General features: G+C 41.9%; 1 protein-coding gene across 1 annotated transcript in view; it reads right to left on the bottom strand.

Moving 5' to 3' along the window:
* The window catches only part of GALNT10 (polypeptide N-acetylgalactosaminyltransferase 10), a 230,252-nt gene that overhangs the window by 103,652 nt on the left and 106,730 nt on the right, over positions 1-19,870 (bottom strand). Inside the window, exon 3 of the mRNA NM_198321.4 lies at positions 19,254-19,392. Coding sequence (NP_938080.1) covers positions 19,254-19,392 — 139 coding nt within the window. The remainder of the gene's footprint in view (positions 1-19,253; positions 19,393-19,870) is intronic.

Here is a 19,870-nt window from a genome sequence, read left to right as displayed (position 1 = left end):
TTCAAAAATCTTCTCTCTGAGTAAACTTTGAAATAGAACAATCCAATCATTTAAAAGGGAACTATAACATACATTCAATTCCCTGGCATGGGACACCATCCACAGATCAAACTGAAATGTAAGTCAATTGAACAAACCCAATATTGTATGTGCCTAAGGGAGCAAGAATGCTCTGGACCTGGGTTCAAATCCTGACTCTGCTCCTTTGCAACTGTGAGACCCCGGCAAGTTCCTATCCCATGATGAGCCTCAGTTTCCTTATCTATGGAATAGGGATGGTAACACCATGAGAATGTCATGAGAACCAAGTGAGACAGTACATTTAAAACAGCCATGGGGAGGGATAAGTAGCTGGCTGTTCTTGGAGATGGGTAAATGTGGAGGACAACTCACAGCAAAGATTTCACAGCTCCTGATTTCAGTTCTCTCAGAATCAGGGCTGGCCATCCCAGGAAGGGCATGGGGCTTCAGTAAGGCTTCACTGAAGAGTTCTGCTCTAGTAGACAAGAATCCCACTTTTGGTACCTCAGGCTTTGGCCAGCTCATGACTCAAAACATTCTCATTTGCTCACTGCCTTGCATCATTCATGTATTCAAGAAACGTAATACTGAGCACTTACAATGTGACAGACACTATGCTAAGACCTGGAATTAAAATGGCAGGAAACAAGCTGTCGTTCCTGTCCCGTGGGATACACAGTCTAATCAGGGTTGTGGGGGACAAGCAAATAACATAAACAGTAATAAATTATGATAATTTCTTTCTGCCTTCCTGTGTATGGCTGTGAAGTGACAGCAAAATGAAAACAGCCTAGAAAGGCACAGACTGAAGTGTTATTAGTGGCACAGCCTCATGCCCAGGCCTGTGCCTTGCCATCAACAAGCACGCCATGAATAGTTGCTGAGTTGAACTGGAGTTGGAAGGTGCCTCGTCCAACCCTTCTGTTTTCCAAGTAAGGTAGTGAGGCTTAGAGGAGCTGCTTGGTGATCCCAGACAACGTGGCCAGCTGGGAGGTGGACCTGGCTCCTCAGTTTAGTCCCAACACAAAGAGAAAATCTTTTGGAGACCCTGGATGTAAATAACAAATCTAAATCAGACACAGTTTAAAGGAGCCAGTGTCTGCTGTTATGTTCCAAGTGGTGCCTGTTGGCTTGGCAAGTCCATGGGGGGCTGACCACACAGCCTAGAGAAGTGGGATCTTCAAGAAGATTCAATGAACTTCAGCAACTAAAAACTCCCACTAATAAAAATGTGGATGCCCTAAATATGCTTGATGATGTCCATTCAATGTTCATTCTCTTTTCTCAGAAGTAGTTTGGTATGGACTTGGAGCCAAAAAGACCAAAGGTTATTAGCTATATAGCCTTGGGCAAGTTATCAAACACCTGCTTAGTTTCTTCCTTTATAAAATGGACTTGTAGGTTTGAGCTGAGAAGTGAATAAGAAAGGAACATGTTGGTGCTCTGTAAACAGGAGGGTCATCAGGTACCATCTTGGTCCAACAAGGAATTTATATGCTGATCAGGTCAGTCATGGGGCCTACCTTGCCCATGCCTTCCCTTCTGACAGAAATGACCAAGCCCACAGCCCTGGCTGAAGAAGGAGTCCTGGGTGGGCTCTATGATTGCCCCTTACCTGGCCACAGTTGTTTAGGGCAGAAGCAGAACTCTGACTCAGGGCCGCCAATCCATTGACTTGCCAGGGGTCAATGGCCTTGCAAGAAATCTGTGCCCAAATGAGGCTCACCAGACCAATCAAATTCTCTTTCTTGAGGACACAACCTTGATGTATGGAAAGAATGTCACAGAGCTAATGAGGGGAGCAGACAGAGCTACACAGAGGAGAGCTAAGGCCTCTTAATGGTGGAATCCAGAAATTCCTGGTGCTGAGGAGATCATAAGAGAACCTGGAGGCCAGCCTTGGAAAAATTTCCCCTTTCAGGCACTAAGAGGCCTGTCTGTGCCGTGGCTCCACCTCCTTCCCCTGCGGGGCTTGGCTGTGTGGCCTTTCTCACATTCCACCTAGAAAACATTCCCATTTCCCTCTATTGCCCGTGATTCCTTGCATGGGATACTCCATTAGCTGAGGTAACCATGAAGCCAAGGAATTCTGTCCTATCTCTAAATCTGTTCCCTGGATTAAAAAACCAAGAGTAAGCATCCAAAAGTTGTACTACAGCTGAATCAATTATTTTTATTTTTTTTTGATTGTGAAAATAATTGGATTCTTTTAGAGTTAAGATTTCTAAACTTCAGAAGTACCACTAATATGGAAACCTGGACTTCCAGGTCATAGACACTGAGACTGCTAGGACACACTGTTGTTGTTCTACACGATTTGCAAGGCCCTATCAACACTGAACCAACTGGGCCATCATGACATTAAGAGCAATTACTTGTAGTTCACAGCACTTCACCATCTCTATGCTCTGCACATTGTGGCAAATTACTCTTCAGCAATTTCAGTCTTTTTTTTTTAAGGAAATTATCATTTTAAAAATTGTCAAGTGACTCTTGTTTGAAAGCTTTTAGTGCTTGGACTCCTAGATAAACAATCATCTTCTGGAAAGGGGTACCACTTTAGCACTTTCACATGGTAACCAAATCCAACATACCCCCCTTTGCCAAGCAGATGACAATTTTGGATTTTCCCTTAACGAGATGGAGCTGGTTGGGAGCTGGTTTGTATGTTGTGGGAGGCGGGGAGGCAGATAGGCAGACGCCAGCATCTCTTTGGGTTGAGGACCAAGGCAGAAAGCCAACTACCATTCCCAGGCCACATACGGAGCTTTAACCTGAAAGGCCAATCAGAAGCAATGAATATTAAGTCTGGAAAGCCTGACTCTCATATCATTTGTGCTCCTTGGTTTAAAGATGAGGAAACTGAGGTCTAGAATGAGGAGGGACCTTCCCAGGGTCACAGAGGGAGACAGCATATCCACATCTCAAACAGTGGCCCTTGGTCCAAGGGTAAGAATTCTAGGAAGGGCACTTCCTTGGGATGCAACTACAGGTGTGGTGAGGGAAATGGATAGGCTGAAGAGACACTCAGATCTGGGTTCAAAATCCATGTCTGTCACTTAGTGGCTGGGTCACCTTGGGAAAGTCATAACCTCCCTGAGACTTAGTTTCCTCTTGGGTAAAATACATCCTTCCTGTTAAGGCTGTCACAAGGAATAAAAGAGGTGCCATATGTGAATGCACCTGGTACAGCATCTGGAATGTAAATTTAGTTTCCACTTTACAGAGGCCACGGTATAGGTCATTTTCCAGCAAATGGTGTAAGTTCAAAATTCTAGGATTTTCTCCTCTCTATTCTGCAAAAAGGACAGTCCCTTAAAATATAACATTCTCAGAAAGACTATGTCCAGTCGTCTTGGAGCCATCAAGAAACTGACTAAGTGGAAGTCAGAGACAGCTCCACCAGAATAAGAGGCAGAAACTGAGTCTTAGTGGGTAGAGTGTGAAAAGTCCCTGTTCCCTTTCCCCCATCCTCCCTCGAGCTGCAGACTTAGGCCTTCTCCTGACACATACTGATTGTAAGCCTCTTTCCTCAGCTCAAGGCTCAGGCTCAGCTCTCCAGCCCTTCTCTACCCTCCTCTCGGGGATGAGACAGACATGAGCTTTCTCTTTAACACAGTCTGACTGGAATAAAAGGACCCAAAAGATTACTTGACAACGTGTGCCAAGGCTGACATCTTTATGAAAGCCCTTTGCCATTCAGGGGATGCTTTGCTGAGAGCCAGCCAAACCCACCTGCTAGTCCCTGTTCAACAGACAGCTAAGAAACACACAGAGGTTTATTCTTATTATTCATATTGTTAATTATAAACCTCAGCAGTATCAGTTTGCCACTAGTTGTGCACCCCCTGACTAGGACCAGAGATTTCAGGTACAAGGAGTGTTTAAAGGATCTTGGTTTGTGCTTTCTTTTCCTTCCTTTTGAACTTACATTTTGGGAACTGTTTTATTTAGGTCATATCTAGTTTTAAGATGGTTATAAAAACAGTACCTTTTTTTTTTTTTCAAGAGTCTCGCTCTGTCACCCAGGCTGGAGTGCAGTGATGTGATTTCAACTCACTGCAACCTCTGCCTCCCAGGTTGAAGCAATTCTCCTGCCTCAGCTTCCTAAGTAGCTGGGACTATGAGGCACTCACCATCACGCCCGGCTAATTTTTGTATTTTTCGTAGAGATGTGGTTTCACCATGTTGGCCAGGCTGGTCTCGAGCTCCTGACCTCAAGTGATCCACCTGCCTCGGCCTCCCAAAGTGTTGGGATTAAAGGCATGAGCCACCGCACCCAGCCTAACAATAACATTTTAAAAAAATCTAGTGACAGTTTCTTCACACTGCTGTCCCACATGATAAAATTTTTGGCCCTCCTACAGATGTAACATGCAATATATTCCACATACTCAAGCTTTAAACCAAGGATGACAGCAGGAAAGAGGAACTCTAATGGATGAATATGGTGTGCAAGGCACAAAATAACCCTAAGGACCACACCTCACATCCCAGTGAGCTGCCAGCTGCCAGGCAAACATTCCTTAGAAGGAAATGGACTTTAATATCAAGTTTCTTGATGATTCATAAAAGAGGAGAAAAGAAGAAATAAAAATGTAAAGATATGTGTTCCAGGATGTTTTTTGCCACACTTTTTCCAGAAGCAAGGACCTGGAAATGACCTGTATGTCTGTCTACAGAGGAACTGTTGACTAAATTATATTCCTATGGAATATTACACAGCTATTAGAAATATCTTAAAATGTGACCACAATATATTAAGTGAAAAAAGTACTTGTAGAATAAAACACAATAGTACAACCACATTTTTATAAAACAAAACAAAACCCTAAGCCCCATTCATATGTCTCTATATACTGTATAAGCAAAGAAAAAACTATAGAAAGCTACTAAACTGTTACAATTCATTACCCAGGCAGACTTAGGATTGGAGCGTAAAGTGGGGGGATAGAGAGGGGAGAGGGACTATTGATTTCTTCCCCTGAAAGGTGTGGAGAAGGAGGCTTCCAATCAAGAAAGAACTATGTTCTCTTCTATGTAACAGTGCTCCTAAGCTAAGCTGTTCTGCTTGTCTTATCATCACACTGCCCTTGATACCATCTTAATGAAGGGAGAGAACTGATAATCACTCTTATCTTCCAGTCATTATTTTCTTTTTGCTTAAACCCTTTCAAGGCCAACACCACTTAGAAATCAAACTCATCTCTGTAACCAATTTTGCTGAATGCTATTTATCTGCTCCTGGACAAGAACATATTACCTTCTGCATGGTGAATGCGATGCATGCAGAGGAGTCGGCTGGTTGTGTTTGCTGGATTTATGTAGCAAATACCACTCACTAGGCCTGGTCCAAGTACCTTCATGGACAGAGGATTCAGATTTAAAAACGTTTCCCTCCACCGGGTACGGTGGCTCATGCCTGTAATTTCAGCACTTTGGGAGGCTAAGGTGGGCAGATCAACTCAAGGCCAGGAGTTTGAGACCAGCCTGGCCAACATGGTGAAACTCCATCTCTACTAAAAATACAAAAATTAGCCTGGTGTGGTGGCGTGTGCCCATAGTCCCAGCTACTCGAGAGGCTGAGCATGAGAATTGCTTCACCCTGAATGGCAGAATTTGCGGTGAGCTGAGATTGCATCACTGCACTCCAGCCTGGGCAAGAGAGTGAGAATCTGTCTTAAAAAAAAAAAAAAAAGTCTCCATTCTCTGTGAGACACGGGTTTCAGGTCTCAGGTCTCAGGTCTCAGTCTGTGTATGATGCAATAGAAAAAACACAGGCTTGGATCTAGGTCGAGCCTTCTTTGCCTTCTACTAGCAGTGTGAACTGGAACAAAGGGCTGAGGTTCTCTGAGGTTTAGTTTGTGCATCTGTAAAATGGAGCTAGTGATGTTCCCCATTTGACACAATTGCAGAGAGGCTAAACCACAAAATAGTTGTAACAGTTTGTAAACCAGAAGACAATGTTGAGTATAAAAGAAATAAATCATCATCACACAACAATTCTGAATAGGAACAAGTAAGATACAACTGGCAATGTGTTCAGCACAATGCCCGGTACATCGATAAATAAATAGGAGCACTCGACAAATGGTACATGTTGTTATTAATGGAGAACACAGCATCCATTTCTAGAAGACTCAGAAAATGCATCTGTTTGCAGAAATAATAAAAAGAAAACAAGCCACACATCCAGTCACATAGATGTAAGTGGCTTTTATCTAGCATAAATTGTAGGGAGTAGATGCCCATATAATTTTTAGTTGATAGGCAGCCATTTTGCTGTAGATTATTTATCTTCACAATTTCAACTTCAGGGCTGAATTCACTGAACTCTTTTAAAAATTAGAGAAAAGAAGTCAATGTAAGAAATGTTATTGGCTGCATTTTATTTTAAGGTATATGAGCACCTTTAAATCTCAATATTAGGTCCAATGGATCAATAACTGTTATCGTGGAAGAAACACCACTGTTCAGAAGGGAGTCATTTAATTTCAAAGGAGAAGAGCTGATTTAAGTCTCCTAAAAAACCAGTGATGTGGCCAGGCACGGTGGCTCACGCCTGTAATCCCAGCACTTTGGGAGGCTGAGGTGGGCGGATTACCTGAGGTCAGGAGTTCCAGACCAGCCTGGCCAACATGGTAAAACCCTGTCTCTGCTGCAAATACAAAAATTAGCCAGGTGTGGTGGGTGGTATGCGCCTGTAATCCCAGCTACTTGGGAGGCTGAGGCAGGAGAATTGCTTGAACCCAGGAAGTGGAGGATGCAGTGAGCCGAGATCACGCCTGCACTCCAGCCTGGATGACAGAGCGAGACTCTGTCTCAAAAACAAAACAAACAAACAAACAAACAAACAAACAAAAAAAAAAACAAAAAAAACCCAGTGATGGTCCAAAAAAAGAAAAACCTAGATTTTTTCCTTTCCCAGCTTACAAATCATTCCATCTACAGGCCCTCCCCTCCCACAACAGCCTCGCTAACAACCTACCAAAACAGGGAGGCTGCATTGCTCTTGAACTCTGAGTATCTCTGGGGCACTAATCTTATACTGAAGTACTCCATTATAAAGGTGTCAGGCGAGCTTGCTCTACCACATGAATCATGATAAAAAGGGTAAAAACTGCTAATAAGTACTAAATAGTCTTTGAAGCCTGTCTCTATTCTATGGAGGGTCTGACAAGCCACTCTGCACCATGGGGTGGGGGCGGGTGCAGACTCCCGTCATTCATTCCCAACAAAAAGGGTGGAAGGTTATGGGTACCGCTCTCGCCATAACCTGAACGCTGACCACAAACTCCATTACACTGCACGCCACAGACTACGTCCGGTCTTGGGTCATTTTTAGGCTTACTATCTGTTATGCCTCAGGCATTTCCTGATATTCTAGGAAGGTGAGTTAATTAAAACCACAATAAAAACACAGCAACTCAGAAAAAAATCTTGTCACTATTTCCATTTTTCACAACACAAATGAGATCATTTATTCAACTGCCTACTTGACATTGACATTTGGATGTGAAACAGTGTCGCAAACTTGTCTGCAATCAAAATCGTGATTTTCCCCAAAATTGCTCTTCCCAAAGTCATCTCCATTCCTGCAGATGGCAACTCCATCTCCCCAGCTGCTCTGGCCAAAAACCTTGGCATTATCCTTGGCTTCTCTCTTATTCTCATATCCACATTCTTGTAAGTAAATCCTGGCACCTCCATCTCCACCTTCCAAGTATGTCCAGAATTCAGCCATGGCTACTCCACTACTCCTACTGTGGACTGACTCACTCTCACGCTCCCCTGCCTTGCTGTTAACATACTCCTAACTAGTCTCCCTGCTTCCACCCTTGGCTGCCTACAGTCTATTCTTAAAATAGCAACCAAAGTGATCCTTTTAACATGAAAATCAGATCATGTCACTCTCTGTTCAAAACCTTCCAGTGGCATCCCGTCTTAGTCATTTTGGGAAAAGCTCCAGCCCCACTACAACCCGACCACCACCCAGACACCTCTCCAGCCTAACTTCTCATCATTCACATCATCAGGCTCCAGCCACACTGGCCTCCACAAGCCAGGCACAGTGGTCTCAGGGCCTTTGCATTTGCTGTTTCCTCTGCCTGCAGTGCTCTTCCCCTGGTCAACTTTCCTGCTAGGCCTCTCACCACTTCATAGCTCTGTTCATATGCCATCTTATCTGACAGCACTTCCCTGACCCCTGAAATAAAATCTACCCCATTCTTATTATTTTTTCTACCCTTTATCCTGTTAATCTTTTTTCCCCACATCACTTATTGCTATCTAAAAAATCAATCCATTTATTTGTTTGTTTATATTATGACTCTCCCACCCCTACCCCCAGTGGAATGTAAGCTCTAGGAGGGAAGGAGATTTTGACTATTTGCTCATTGCTGATTCCCTAGGACCTAGGCCATACAGTAAGCACACAAAATAGACACTCAATAGATATTTGCTGAATGAATAAATGGCTTTCAGAGACAGTTTTAAGTGACTAATATGCTTGAAATCTCTTCAAGACAGGGACTATCTCTTGATCATTTTAGCATAATAAGCCTGAGTAAGGGCTGGCTGCATTTCAGATGAGCTGCAGACTGGAGGTGGAAGGGTAGAAAGGAGCCCATAACAAACACACAGTTACCGTAGATAAAGTTCCTGATCTAGTTAGCTCTGGATACGTCAGTTGGGTGGGCATGCAAAGCAGGAGCCCGAGAGCACAGGCAGCAGCTCTGCCAACAGCTTCTCCTAGTTCTCAGGGTCTCCGACAGGGATGCACAGCTGGTGATGCCACGTGGGGCAGGAAAGCTCAATTCTTGTTACATCCCTGCCCTTTCTTGCCCCAGGCTTACATCACCATTCGAGAAGACTTCCTTTCTGCTATGGGAATATTTATGAACATCAAGTTTTCTACTCCTCGAGCCAAACTCAGCATCACCAAGGCCACATTATTATGGGGGCAAGTGGGTGGTCCCTGAATAGGACCTCAGCCACCAGCTCTGCTAGGCCCAGGATGCTATTCCCTCACAGTCCACTCCCTCCTTCTGATTCCCCACCATTTTATCTGGGTGTTTTGAATGCCGCAATGGTTGGCAAACCATGGTAACAAATCCCTTTCCAACTACATTCTACCCCACAATTATCTTTTAAAAGATTTAAACAATAAGAAAAATAGCATATATTTACCCACGTGGCTACTATTTGCAGTGATCTTTATTCTTTGTGAATAAAGATACCAGACAGAAATAATAAAAAAAAAAGATACCAGATAGAAATAGAGATCTTTATTCTTTGTGAATAAAGATCTCTATTTCTATCTGGTATCTTTTTTTTTTTGGAAGATATTTTCACTGGGTATAGAATTCTAGGTTTTTCTTTTCATACTTTATTGTTATTATTTTTCACTAAACATACAACCCTGCTCAGGGTGTACCTGTGTGACTTTGGCACACCTCTTTATCCTTTGATCTTCTAGTTGCTGACCTGAAGAAAAGTGAATAATGACGATGATACCACCTGCCCAACCCATTCATGAGGGATATTGGTCTGTAAAATTCTTTTTTTGTAATATCTTTGTCTGATTTTGGTATCAGGATAATGCTGGTTTTACAGTGAGTTGGAAAGTACCCCGTCCTCTTTAATTTTGGGGAAAAATTTGTATAGAATTATTTCTTTTTTTTTTTTTTCTTGAGATGGAGTCTCACTCTGTCGCCCAGGCTGGAGTGCAGTGGTGCGATCTCGACTCACTGCAAGCTCCACCTCCTGGGTTCACGCCATTCTCCTGCCTCAGCCTCCCGAGTAGCTGGGACTACAGGCGCCTGCCACCACGCCTGGCTAATTTTTTGTGTTTTTAGTAGAGACGGGGTTTCACCATGTTAGCCAGGATGGTCTCAATCTCCTGACCTCGTGATCTGCCCACCTCGGCCTCCCAAAGTGGGATTACAAAGCTGGGATTACAGGCGTGAACCACCACACCCGGCCAGAATTATTTCTTAAATTGTTGAAATAATTCATCAGTGAACCCATCTGGGCCTAAAGTTTTCTTTATGGGAAGGTACTTAACTACACTGTCAATCTCTTCAATAGATATAGGACTATTCAGGTTGATCGTTTCTCCTTAAGTGAGTTTTGGCAGTTTGTGTCTTTCAAAGAATCTGTCATTTCAGCGAAGCTGTTAGATGTTTTGGCACAAAGTTGTTCAGAATATTCCTTTATTATTCTCTTAATAGTTATAGAATCTATAGTTATGTCATCTCTCTCATTCCTGATATTGGTAATTTTTGTCTTCTTTTTCTCTTTTTCTAGCTGGTTAGATGTTAATCAATTTAATTGACCATTTCAAAGTGGTAAATGTTTCATATCCACTTGAAAATAATGTGTATTCTGCTCTTATTGGTGGAGTGTTCTATAAATATCAATTAGGTTATATTGGTTGACAGTGCTGTGAGAGTCTACTATATCCTTGCTGATTTTCTGTCTATCTGTATTACCAGTTATTGAGACAGAGGTGTTGAAATCTCATAATTTCATAATTGTGGCTTTTTAAATTTCTCCTAAGTTTTTTTTGTTGTTGTTGTTGTTTTTTGACCAGCTTTTGGTTTCCTTGATTTTCTGTTTCATTGATCCCTGCTTTGCCCTTTTTCACATCCTTTCTTCTGTTTACTGTGATTAATTTGCTCTTCTTTTTCTAGTTTCTGAAAGTGGAAGTTGATGTCATCAATTTTAGACCATTCTTTTTTTCTAACATAGGCATTAATGCTACAAATTTCCCCTTATGTAGTAGTTTAGTGACATTCCACAAATTCTGATATATTGTGTTTTCATTATCATTCAGTTAATAATACTTTCTAATTTTGTTTTTGATTTCTTTTTTGACCCATCTGTTATTTACATGTAAGTAATATACTTTCTAATCGTTTGGAAAGTTTAAAAGGATTATTTTGTTATTGATTTCTAAGTTTAATTTCATTGTGGTTAGAGTGATACTTTGTATCACTTGAATCCTTTTAAATTTATGAGGACTTGTTTTCTGGCCCAAAATATAATCTATCTTGGTAAATGTTTCATATCCACTTGAAAAGAATGTGTATTCTGCTCTTATTGGTTGGAGTGTTCTATAAATGTCAATTAGGTCATATTGGTTGACAGTGCTGTGAGAGTCTACTATATCCTTGCTGATTTTCTGTCTATCTGTATTACCAATTATTGAGAGAGAGGTGTTGAAATCTCATAATCTCATAATTGTGGCTTTTTAAATTTCTCCTTATAGTTTGTTGTTGTTGTTGTTTTCTGAGATGGAGTCTCGCTTTGTCACCCAGGCTGGAGTACAGTGGCGCAATCTCGGCTCACTGCAGCTTCTGCCTCCCAGGTTCCAGTGATTCTCCTGCTTCACCTTCCTGAGTAGTTGGGATTACAGGCACGTGCCACCATGCCTGGCTAATTTTTGTATTTTTAGTAGAGACAGGGTTTCACCATGTTGGTCAGGCTGGTCTGGAACTCCTGACCTCAGGTGATCCGCCCTCCTTGGCCTCCCAAAGTACTAAGATTACAGGTGAGAGCCACTGTGCCCGGCCTCTCCTTATAGTTTTATCAGTTTTTGCTTCATGTATTTTGAAGCTCACTGATTAAGTACATAAACATTTAGGATTGCTATGTCTTCCTTATGAATTACTTTTTTATTATGAATAACTTTCTTTATTCCTGGTAATATTCTTTGCTCTGAAATCTATTTTGACTGATATTAATATTGCCTCTGCAGCTTTCTTTTGACTGGTGTTAGCATGGTATATCTTTTCTGTCTTTTACATTTAACTTATTTGTATCTCTACATTTAAAGTGTGTTTCTTGCAGGGAGCATGTATTTGAATCTTGTTTTCTTATCCAATCTGACAATCTCCACCTTTTAACCAGAATAATTAGAGCATTTACATTTAATGTGATTATTGATATGGTCAGGTTAAAGTCCATCATTTTGGTAGTTTCTATTTCTTCTTCTTCTTTTTTTTTTTTTTTACAGATGAGGTCTTGCTCTGTCACTAAGGCTGGAGTGCAGTAGCACGGTCATAGCTTACTGCAGCCTCAAACTTCCGGGCTCAAGTGATTCTCCCACCTTAGCCTCCCAAGTAGCTGGGACTACAAACATATGCCACTATGCCTGGCTAATATATATTTTTTTAATTTTAGAAATGGGGTCTTGCCCAGTTGATCTTAAACTCCTAGGCTTAAGCGATCCTCCTGCCTCAGCCTGCTGAGTAGCTAGGATCACAGGTGCAAGCCACTGCACCCAGTTCTATTTCTCCTTTGTGATTTTGATTCCCTTCCTTGCTTTTTCTGCCATATTTTGGATTACTTTTTATGATTTCATTTTATCTCCTCTGTTGGCTTATTAGCTATAATTCTGTTTTGTTATTTTAGTGCTTGCTTTAGGGTTTATAGTATGTTTTTAACTCATCAGTCTACCTTCAGATGATATTGTATACTTCATACGTACTATGAGAACCTTACGATACCAGATTACCATTTCTCCCCTTCAATCTTTATGTTGGCACACATTTTATTTTACACATGTTTTAAATCCAGTAATGTTATTATTCTTGGTTACACAGTCAATTATCTTTTAAAAGATTTAAACAATAAGACAAATAGCATATATTTACCCACAAAGCTACTATTTCTAGTGATCTTCATATTTTGTAAATAAAGATCTCTATTTGTAGCTAGTATCTTTTTTTAAAAAAGATATTTTCACTGGGTACAGAATTCTAAGTTGACAGAGTTTTCTCTTTCCATACCTTATTTTTTTCTTACTAACCATAGTTTACTGACATTTCTGTACTTTAAAGATGTTGCTACACCATATTCTTCTTTGTACTGTTTACAACAAGAATTCTCCTCTTATCATTGTTCCTCTCTATATAACATGCTTTATTTCTCTGGCTGCTTTGACATTTTTTTCTTCATCACTGGTTTTTTAGTAATTTGATTATAACATGCCTTGATGTCATTTTCTTTGTATTTCTTGAGCTTGTGTTTCACTGAGTTTCTTGGATGTGGTATTACAGTTGTTATCCAATTTGGAAGACTTTCAGCCATTACTTCCTTACACACACCCTAATTACATGAATATTAGAATTTTTAAACTTGACCCACAGGTAATTGAACCTCTTTTCAATTTTTAAAATCTTTTTCTGTGTTTTGAGTAGTTTCTTTTGCTACATCTTCAAGTTCATTAATCTTTTTTTTCCAGCAATATCTATGCCATTAATCCCATTCAGTATATTTCTCATTTTAGACATTGTTGATTTCATTTCTAGAATTTCGATTTGGATCTTCTTATATCTTCCGTATCTCTACCTAACTTTTTAAACATATGAAATACAGTTACAATTAACTCTGCTAATTCTAATATCTGTGTCTACCCTGGGTTGGTTGATTGAGTGATTATACTTGTCACTGTGGGTCATGTTTCTCTACTTTTTTGCATACCTGATAATCTTTGATTGGGTTTCACATTGCTTAGTAGTGAATATTTATGTATTGATGTAAGTATTATCAAGCTTTGTTCTGGGTGCATTATATATTTGGAAACAGTTTGATCCTTTTGGGTAATAATTTATGATATTTTTAGACTGGTCCAGAGCACTGTTTAGTCTAGGGCTGATTAGATGCCACTAAGGCAAAACTCTTCTAAGTACTCTACCTGATTCCCCATGAGTTATGAATTAGGAGGTTTTCCAGTCTGGGTGGTGGGAAGAGGAACTATTTTTGGCCCTGAGTGAGCACTATGCACTGTTCCCTAAAGCCCTTTAGGGTGATTCCTTTCCCAGCCTCAGATAGCTTCCTCACGGCAGGTGCTGATCAATAATCCACTGAGTGTTTGAGAGGACTCTGTAGATCTCTGTAGGTCTCTCTTTGCACAGCTCTCCTGTCTCCAGTACTGTGTCCTCTGAACTATAGCCTTCTTGATCTCCTTGGACTCTCAGCTCCACTTCCTCAACTCAGTAAGTCTTCTGGGCTCTATCTGGGCTTGCCCTCCCTGTACCATGGCCTGGAAATTCTCCAAAGGCAATAAGCTGGGGCAACTATAGGGCTCACCTCATTTGTTTCAATTTCTTAGAAATTATTGTTCTTCACTGCCTGATGTCCAGTGTCTTAAAAACCAGTGTTTCATGTATTTTGCCTGGCCTTTTTTTTTGGGTGGGGGGTGTTGTTTAGGCAGAAGGGAAAACTTATCTTACTTCATCTTGGCCCAAATGTGATTTTATACCTATGTGTATGTTCCAATTGGGGCACTATTATATTATTACTACAATAAATGTGGTTGACTTAAACTTCCTGTGTTGGCAAGTTGTCATTTTTTAATACATGTTTGTCAAAGGTAATAGGTGATAACTCCCTTCCTTCTTGCTTCTATTACACTTTGTAGCCTGTTAGGGATGTAAAGGTACTCAATATAATACGGGACTATTATAGTAATATGAGCTTATAAGTTCTTTTGAGGACATTTAGTATATGTCATAAATTAACTGTGTTAATTTAACAAAAAGGACAAAGCAAAAAGGAACATGGAAGGAGGGATCTGGTAGACTTGGGCCTTTTGTTGCAACACAGGTTCATTCATTGTGAAGCTAAAACTATGGAATGGAGAAAGCAGGTCAGGATATCTCTGGATATCCTGGATATCCATGGATAATCTTTGCATAGGAGAAACTGACCACCTAACCTGGGGTTTGCACCGGAAACTGCAGATCCCAGGCACTTTAGCAGTTGGGTCTCTGTTGTGCCATCAGCCCTGTGCTCTGGAGGGGCCTCCACGCTCAGTTGCCAAGCAGCCCAGCAGGGCTCCCAGGGAGTAGGGAAAGTGGGCCAGCCCACCAGCCAGCCACTGTTCACGCTCACTTGGCAGGAGGTGCAGAGGGCAGGCCCACTCAGAGCCAGCTGGCTGACTCCCATTTGCAGGTCCAGTGAGTCTGGGCCAAACTGCCTCGCTTCCGTTCTCTGGCTACGCAGTCCCCAGTGCAGCTTCTGGTGGAAGCAAAGGCAGCTGGCACAAACAAACAGCCCCTCAATCTTGTTCTTGACATGCTGTTGCCAAAATTCAGTTTGAAGGAACAAAAGGCAAACATAAACCTCAGCTCCTGCTGGAGAAGTTGTTTAAGCTAAAAGAAACTGAATGGAGTGAGCGGCTCGACTGCTCTAATTTACTCACACATTTCTGCTGTCAAACTGCAGGAAAGATTCCCCTCTGGAAAAAAAGGAAATCTCTTCGAGACATCTGTCAACTCATTTCTGAAAAGTCAGCTTCCACACTTGGTGACTCCAAAAAAGGGGGGTGTCAGGAGCGCTGGCAGTAGTGACATCTTTTGCAGTTAGTAACTTGGATGCTGGCTGGCTGGCTGGGTGGGTGGGCTGGTGACAGAGGTATCTAAGGCCTCCTTAGCTCCACTCCCACCCACCTGGAACAGGAGTTCCACAGCTTATTGATGCCAGAGGTCCATCTGCCAGGCTGGGGGAGCCTGTGGACACTTCTCAGAGCAATGCTCATAATACATAAAATGTACCAGATTTTAAAGAAAACCAATTAGACTGAAATATAGTTATCAAAATTTATTCAAAGCCAAATGTGATGAGGTTTTGCCTGTAATCTCAGCTCCTCAGGAGGCTGAGGCAAGAGGATCACTTGAGCCTAGGAGTTTGAGACCAGCCTAGGCAACATAGCAAGACCCTGTCTCAAAAAAAAAAAAAAACAAAAAAACAAGAAGCAACAAGATCTAGTGGTAAAAGAAATGATAAATTATTGAGGTGATGGATTTCCCAATTACCTTGACTTGATCATTACATATTGTATGCCCATATCAAAACATCACATGTATCTCATAAATATATACAATCATTATATAGCCATGATAATTAAAATTAAAAAGTAAATATCTAGAAAAAAAAAGATCAGTGGTAGTTATAAAAACTACCTCCATTTCAAAGTAGTGATGAGTGTCCATGGGATTCAAGAGGTCTGTAAGTGATGTGAAAGCAAATGCTTTCCTTGGGGGACATCACAGGGCTTTGTTGCCTACATTCACAACTGAAGGGAACACGAAATTTCAGATAAAGGTTAATTTTTTTAAAAAATTCAACGTTTTTCTCATCCAACTTCACAGACTCCCCTGAATTCTATTGAGGGACACATCTGTGGATCCCAGGACTCTTCGATGAAAAAGAGGTTTCTTTTTCTGGACTGTCAGGAAAGAGCACTACAATGGGAGACAAAGGGGCTAGGTCCTCATCCTGGCTCCACTTCCTAAGTCCTAAGCCAGAGAACATGTGCTGTTTTGCCTGGAGGCCTCTGGCCAGGCCACTCTCTCTACCCACAATGCTCTTGCTCATCCCCATCCCCTGGCTAGCCCTAGTTGTTCCTTTCAGAGGCTGTAGATAGCACCCCTCCGGAAGGCCTTCCTAGCTCTTAAACTGCAGACACAGGGTCAGGGGTATCCTCTGTGGTCACAAAGCACCCTGTGCCCAACCCTATTATTGATCTTCTCAACTATGGTGTAATGCCCAGCTCATGTCATCCATCCCCACCCCTTGCAGAAGAGTGGGAGTTCCTTTGAGGCAACACTAATGATTCATTTATCCTTGTGATCCTAGTGTCAAGCACAGGGCTTGGCACATAGAAGACCTACATATATACTATGAATAGATGAAAGAATGGAAGAAAGCTGTGACCACACCCAGCCTGTCTCTCTCTCTCACTGCAGAAATATTCTTCATTGCACACCAGTGATTCTCAACCCTCATTATACGTGAGAATTGCTTTTGGAGATCTTAGAAAATACTGAGATCCAGGTAACAACCTCAGAGATTCAGATTTCAGTGGTCTGGGGTGGGGTCCTGGCCTTTGTAGTTTAAAAAACCATCCAGGTGCAGCCAGGGTTGAGAACCCACAGTACCACAAGAACCGCAGCTGCGGTGAGAGAACAATGAATGAACTCCCCAGGTGAACTTCTTTCCTAGATTCAGAAAGATGAAATTAGTGCAGAATTTGGAACCCTGCAAGGAGCTAAACACATACATTGAGTTTTTGACCCTCAGAGTCAGGTTACAGTTCCAAATCCAGTAACATCTGTCATAGCTGAACTACAAACAGTCTAGACTTACATGAAAAAATCTAGGGCTTGGCCAGGCACGGTGGCTCACATCTGCAATCCCGACACTTTGGGAGGCTGAGGCAGAAAGATCACTTGAGTCCAGGAGTTCAAAACCAGCCTAGGCAACATAGCGAGATCCTGTCTCTACCAAAAATACAAAAAATTCACCAGCAGTGGTGGCACACACTTGTGGTCCCAGCTACACGGGAGGCTGAGATGGGAGGATTGCTTGAGCTCAGGAGGCAGAGGTTGCAGTGAGCTGAGATCGTGCCACTGCACTCCAGCCTGGGTGATAGGGCGAGACCCTGTCTCAAAAAAAAAAAAAAAAAAAAATCTGGGATTTGACAGTGAAAACCATGAAACAAATGGCAAAGCCCGTGGGAAAGCACAGTGAGGCCCCTCCTCTGTTCCCTCGCTGTCAGGCATCTTTGGGAAAAGGGCCCAATCCTAGGTGACAGCACATCTTTTACATCTACAAAGTAGAGATGATCATGGTAATGCCAACCTCAAAGTATTGTTGTAGGAACTAAAGGAGGTTATGGGAATGAAGGCATTTTGTAAGCTGCCAAACATGTTACCAAGATGAAGTCTTTAGCACTGCATTCTACTGATTGAGATCTTATAGGTGGAAAGACTTTTATGGTTCAGTGATTAAAACCACAGATTCTAGAGCCAGACTCCCTGGGTTCAAATTCTGGCTCCATCTCTTTTCAGCTATGTCATCCTATGCAAATTACTTAATCTTTTTGTGCCTCAATTCCTCATCTATGAAATGGTTATAATAACCTCACAGGGATTTTAGAAGATTTGACTGAGTTAATATACTTAAAATACCTGAAACAGTGGTTCTCAAATGCAAGCATGCATCAGAATCTCCTGGAGGCCTTGTTAAAACACTGATTGCTGGACCCTTCCTCATAGCTTTGATTTGGTAAATCTGGGCTGGGGCCCAAGAATCTGCAGGTCTACCAAATTCCTAGGTGATGCTGATATTGCTGGTCTGGGAACCACACTTTGAGAACCACTGGCTTAGAAAAATGCCTGGCATACAGTAAGCAACTAATAAATGTTAGCTTTTATTATCTTTTCCTGGGCTCTATTTTGTTAGTCCCTGAGCAAAACTTATATTCCAGTGCTACTCAGTACTGCCTTCATGTAGAAGCAATTCTGAAATCTACTTGCAGTGATTCTCAAAGTGTGGTCCCAAGATAAGCAGCGCCAGCATCCCCAGGGAGCCTATTTGAAATGGAAGTTCTTGGGCCCCCATCCAGACCTACTGAATCAACAGCTTTGAGGCCTCAATATCCTGTGTCTAACAACCCTCCAAGTGATTCTAACGCACCTCAAATTTAAGAACGGCTCTACCAGAAAATCACCATCATCACCACAATGACCCTTACTGAAAATGTACAGGGAGGCAGGATAACTTAAGGTCCAGAGTATAGTTTTTGATTGAACTGGAGTCTAAGGCCTGTCTTATTCTGTCAATCAACTTATAGCCTTAAGTGAGTTATGACCCTCCTTTAAGCCCCAGTTTTCTCACTGTAAAATCGGCATCATTACAGGACCTACCTCACAGCAACCTGAGATGATACAAATAAAGCGTTTGGCACATAGTACCGGTTCAAAGAATGTTAGATGCCATTGTTGTCATCTTTATAATCATTCTGATATGTCTGCTCTCAATGTGATTAGAGATGGTTTATAACAAAGATACAAATATATAGAAAGATTTTTTTTAAAAAGAAATAAAAACATCACACAGAAAGTGAAGAGAATGAAAGTTAAAAACTGCATGACAACTTGTCGTCTACACTGGGGTCTGAACTTCCCTTCAGCCCAGAGCAAAAGGGGAAATGCAGAGGCTACATAGTTCCACCTCCTGAAAAGAGGAAGGAGGCTGGCTCATCTGGAGAGACAGTATTATCTCCTACCCCTCAACACCATGAACCTTTGCACAAATGCCTGTGAAAGAGGAGGGTGTCTCCGTCAGCAGGGCTCCATGTACCTGCTTCCTTAATTAATTCTCAACAACAGCCAGGGAAACATCCTTAGATCTCAGAATTTGAGAGATGTTACACTCACTTTGGGTGCCGGATATCTGGGAGAGAGCGATTCAAGGAGATTTTATCACTGACGTAGATGTTAAATCCATTTTCTCGGTATGCCTGATCCACTCTCTCAGCATCGGTCATGGGGTAAGGTCTTCCTTGTTCTCCATTTCCTAGAAGCAAAGAGCAAATTCGATGTTGCTAATGATGTATGGGGTACTGTATATGGAGTGGGGAAAAAGGATGAAAAATATGATTAAACCTCCAAGATAAAACTTGATTTGGATATAGAGCATAGCTCAGTTTTTGCTCAGTACAAAGAGTAGGAGGGGAGCAAGCATTTATTCAGACACTTTGCACATCTTGTTCTCATGTAATCACAGCAGCTCTGCGGGGTGGACATGAGACCTCTCATTCCACAGAATGATAATCTGAGACTGAGAAAGGTTATCAAATCAGGAGTATGGATTCCAAAACCCATGCTCCCCTCACTCCGTCAGGAACTCCAAAGACCCCTGCCCTCGCAGACCAGTCACTGGACAGCTAGGTCCACCATCTGTGAGCTGATCAATCTTGGGCCAAGTCCCACCAGCTCTCAGAGCTAAAGCTTCCTCCTCTGATACCCACAGCACACTTGAAAGAGTCAAATGA

This window comes from Homo sapiens, chromosome 5 (genome assembly GCF_000001405.40).
Source record: "Homo sapiens chromosome 5, GRCh38.p14 Primary Assembly".
Lineage (NCBI taxonomy): Eukaryota > Metazoa > Chordata > Mammalia > Primates > Hominidae > Homo > Homo sapiens.
Note: the sequence above shows the minus strand (reverse complement) of the source record. Positions and strands in the feature narration are given on the sequence as shown.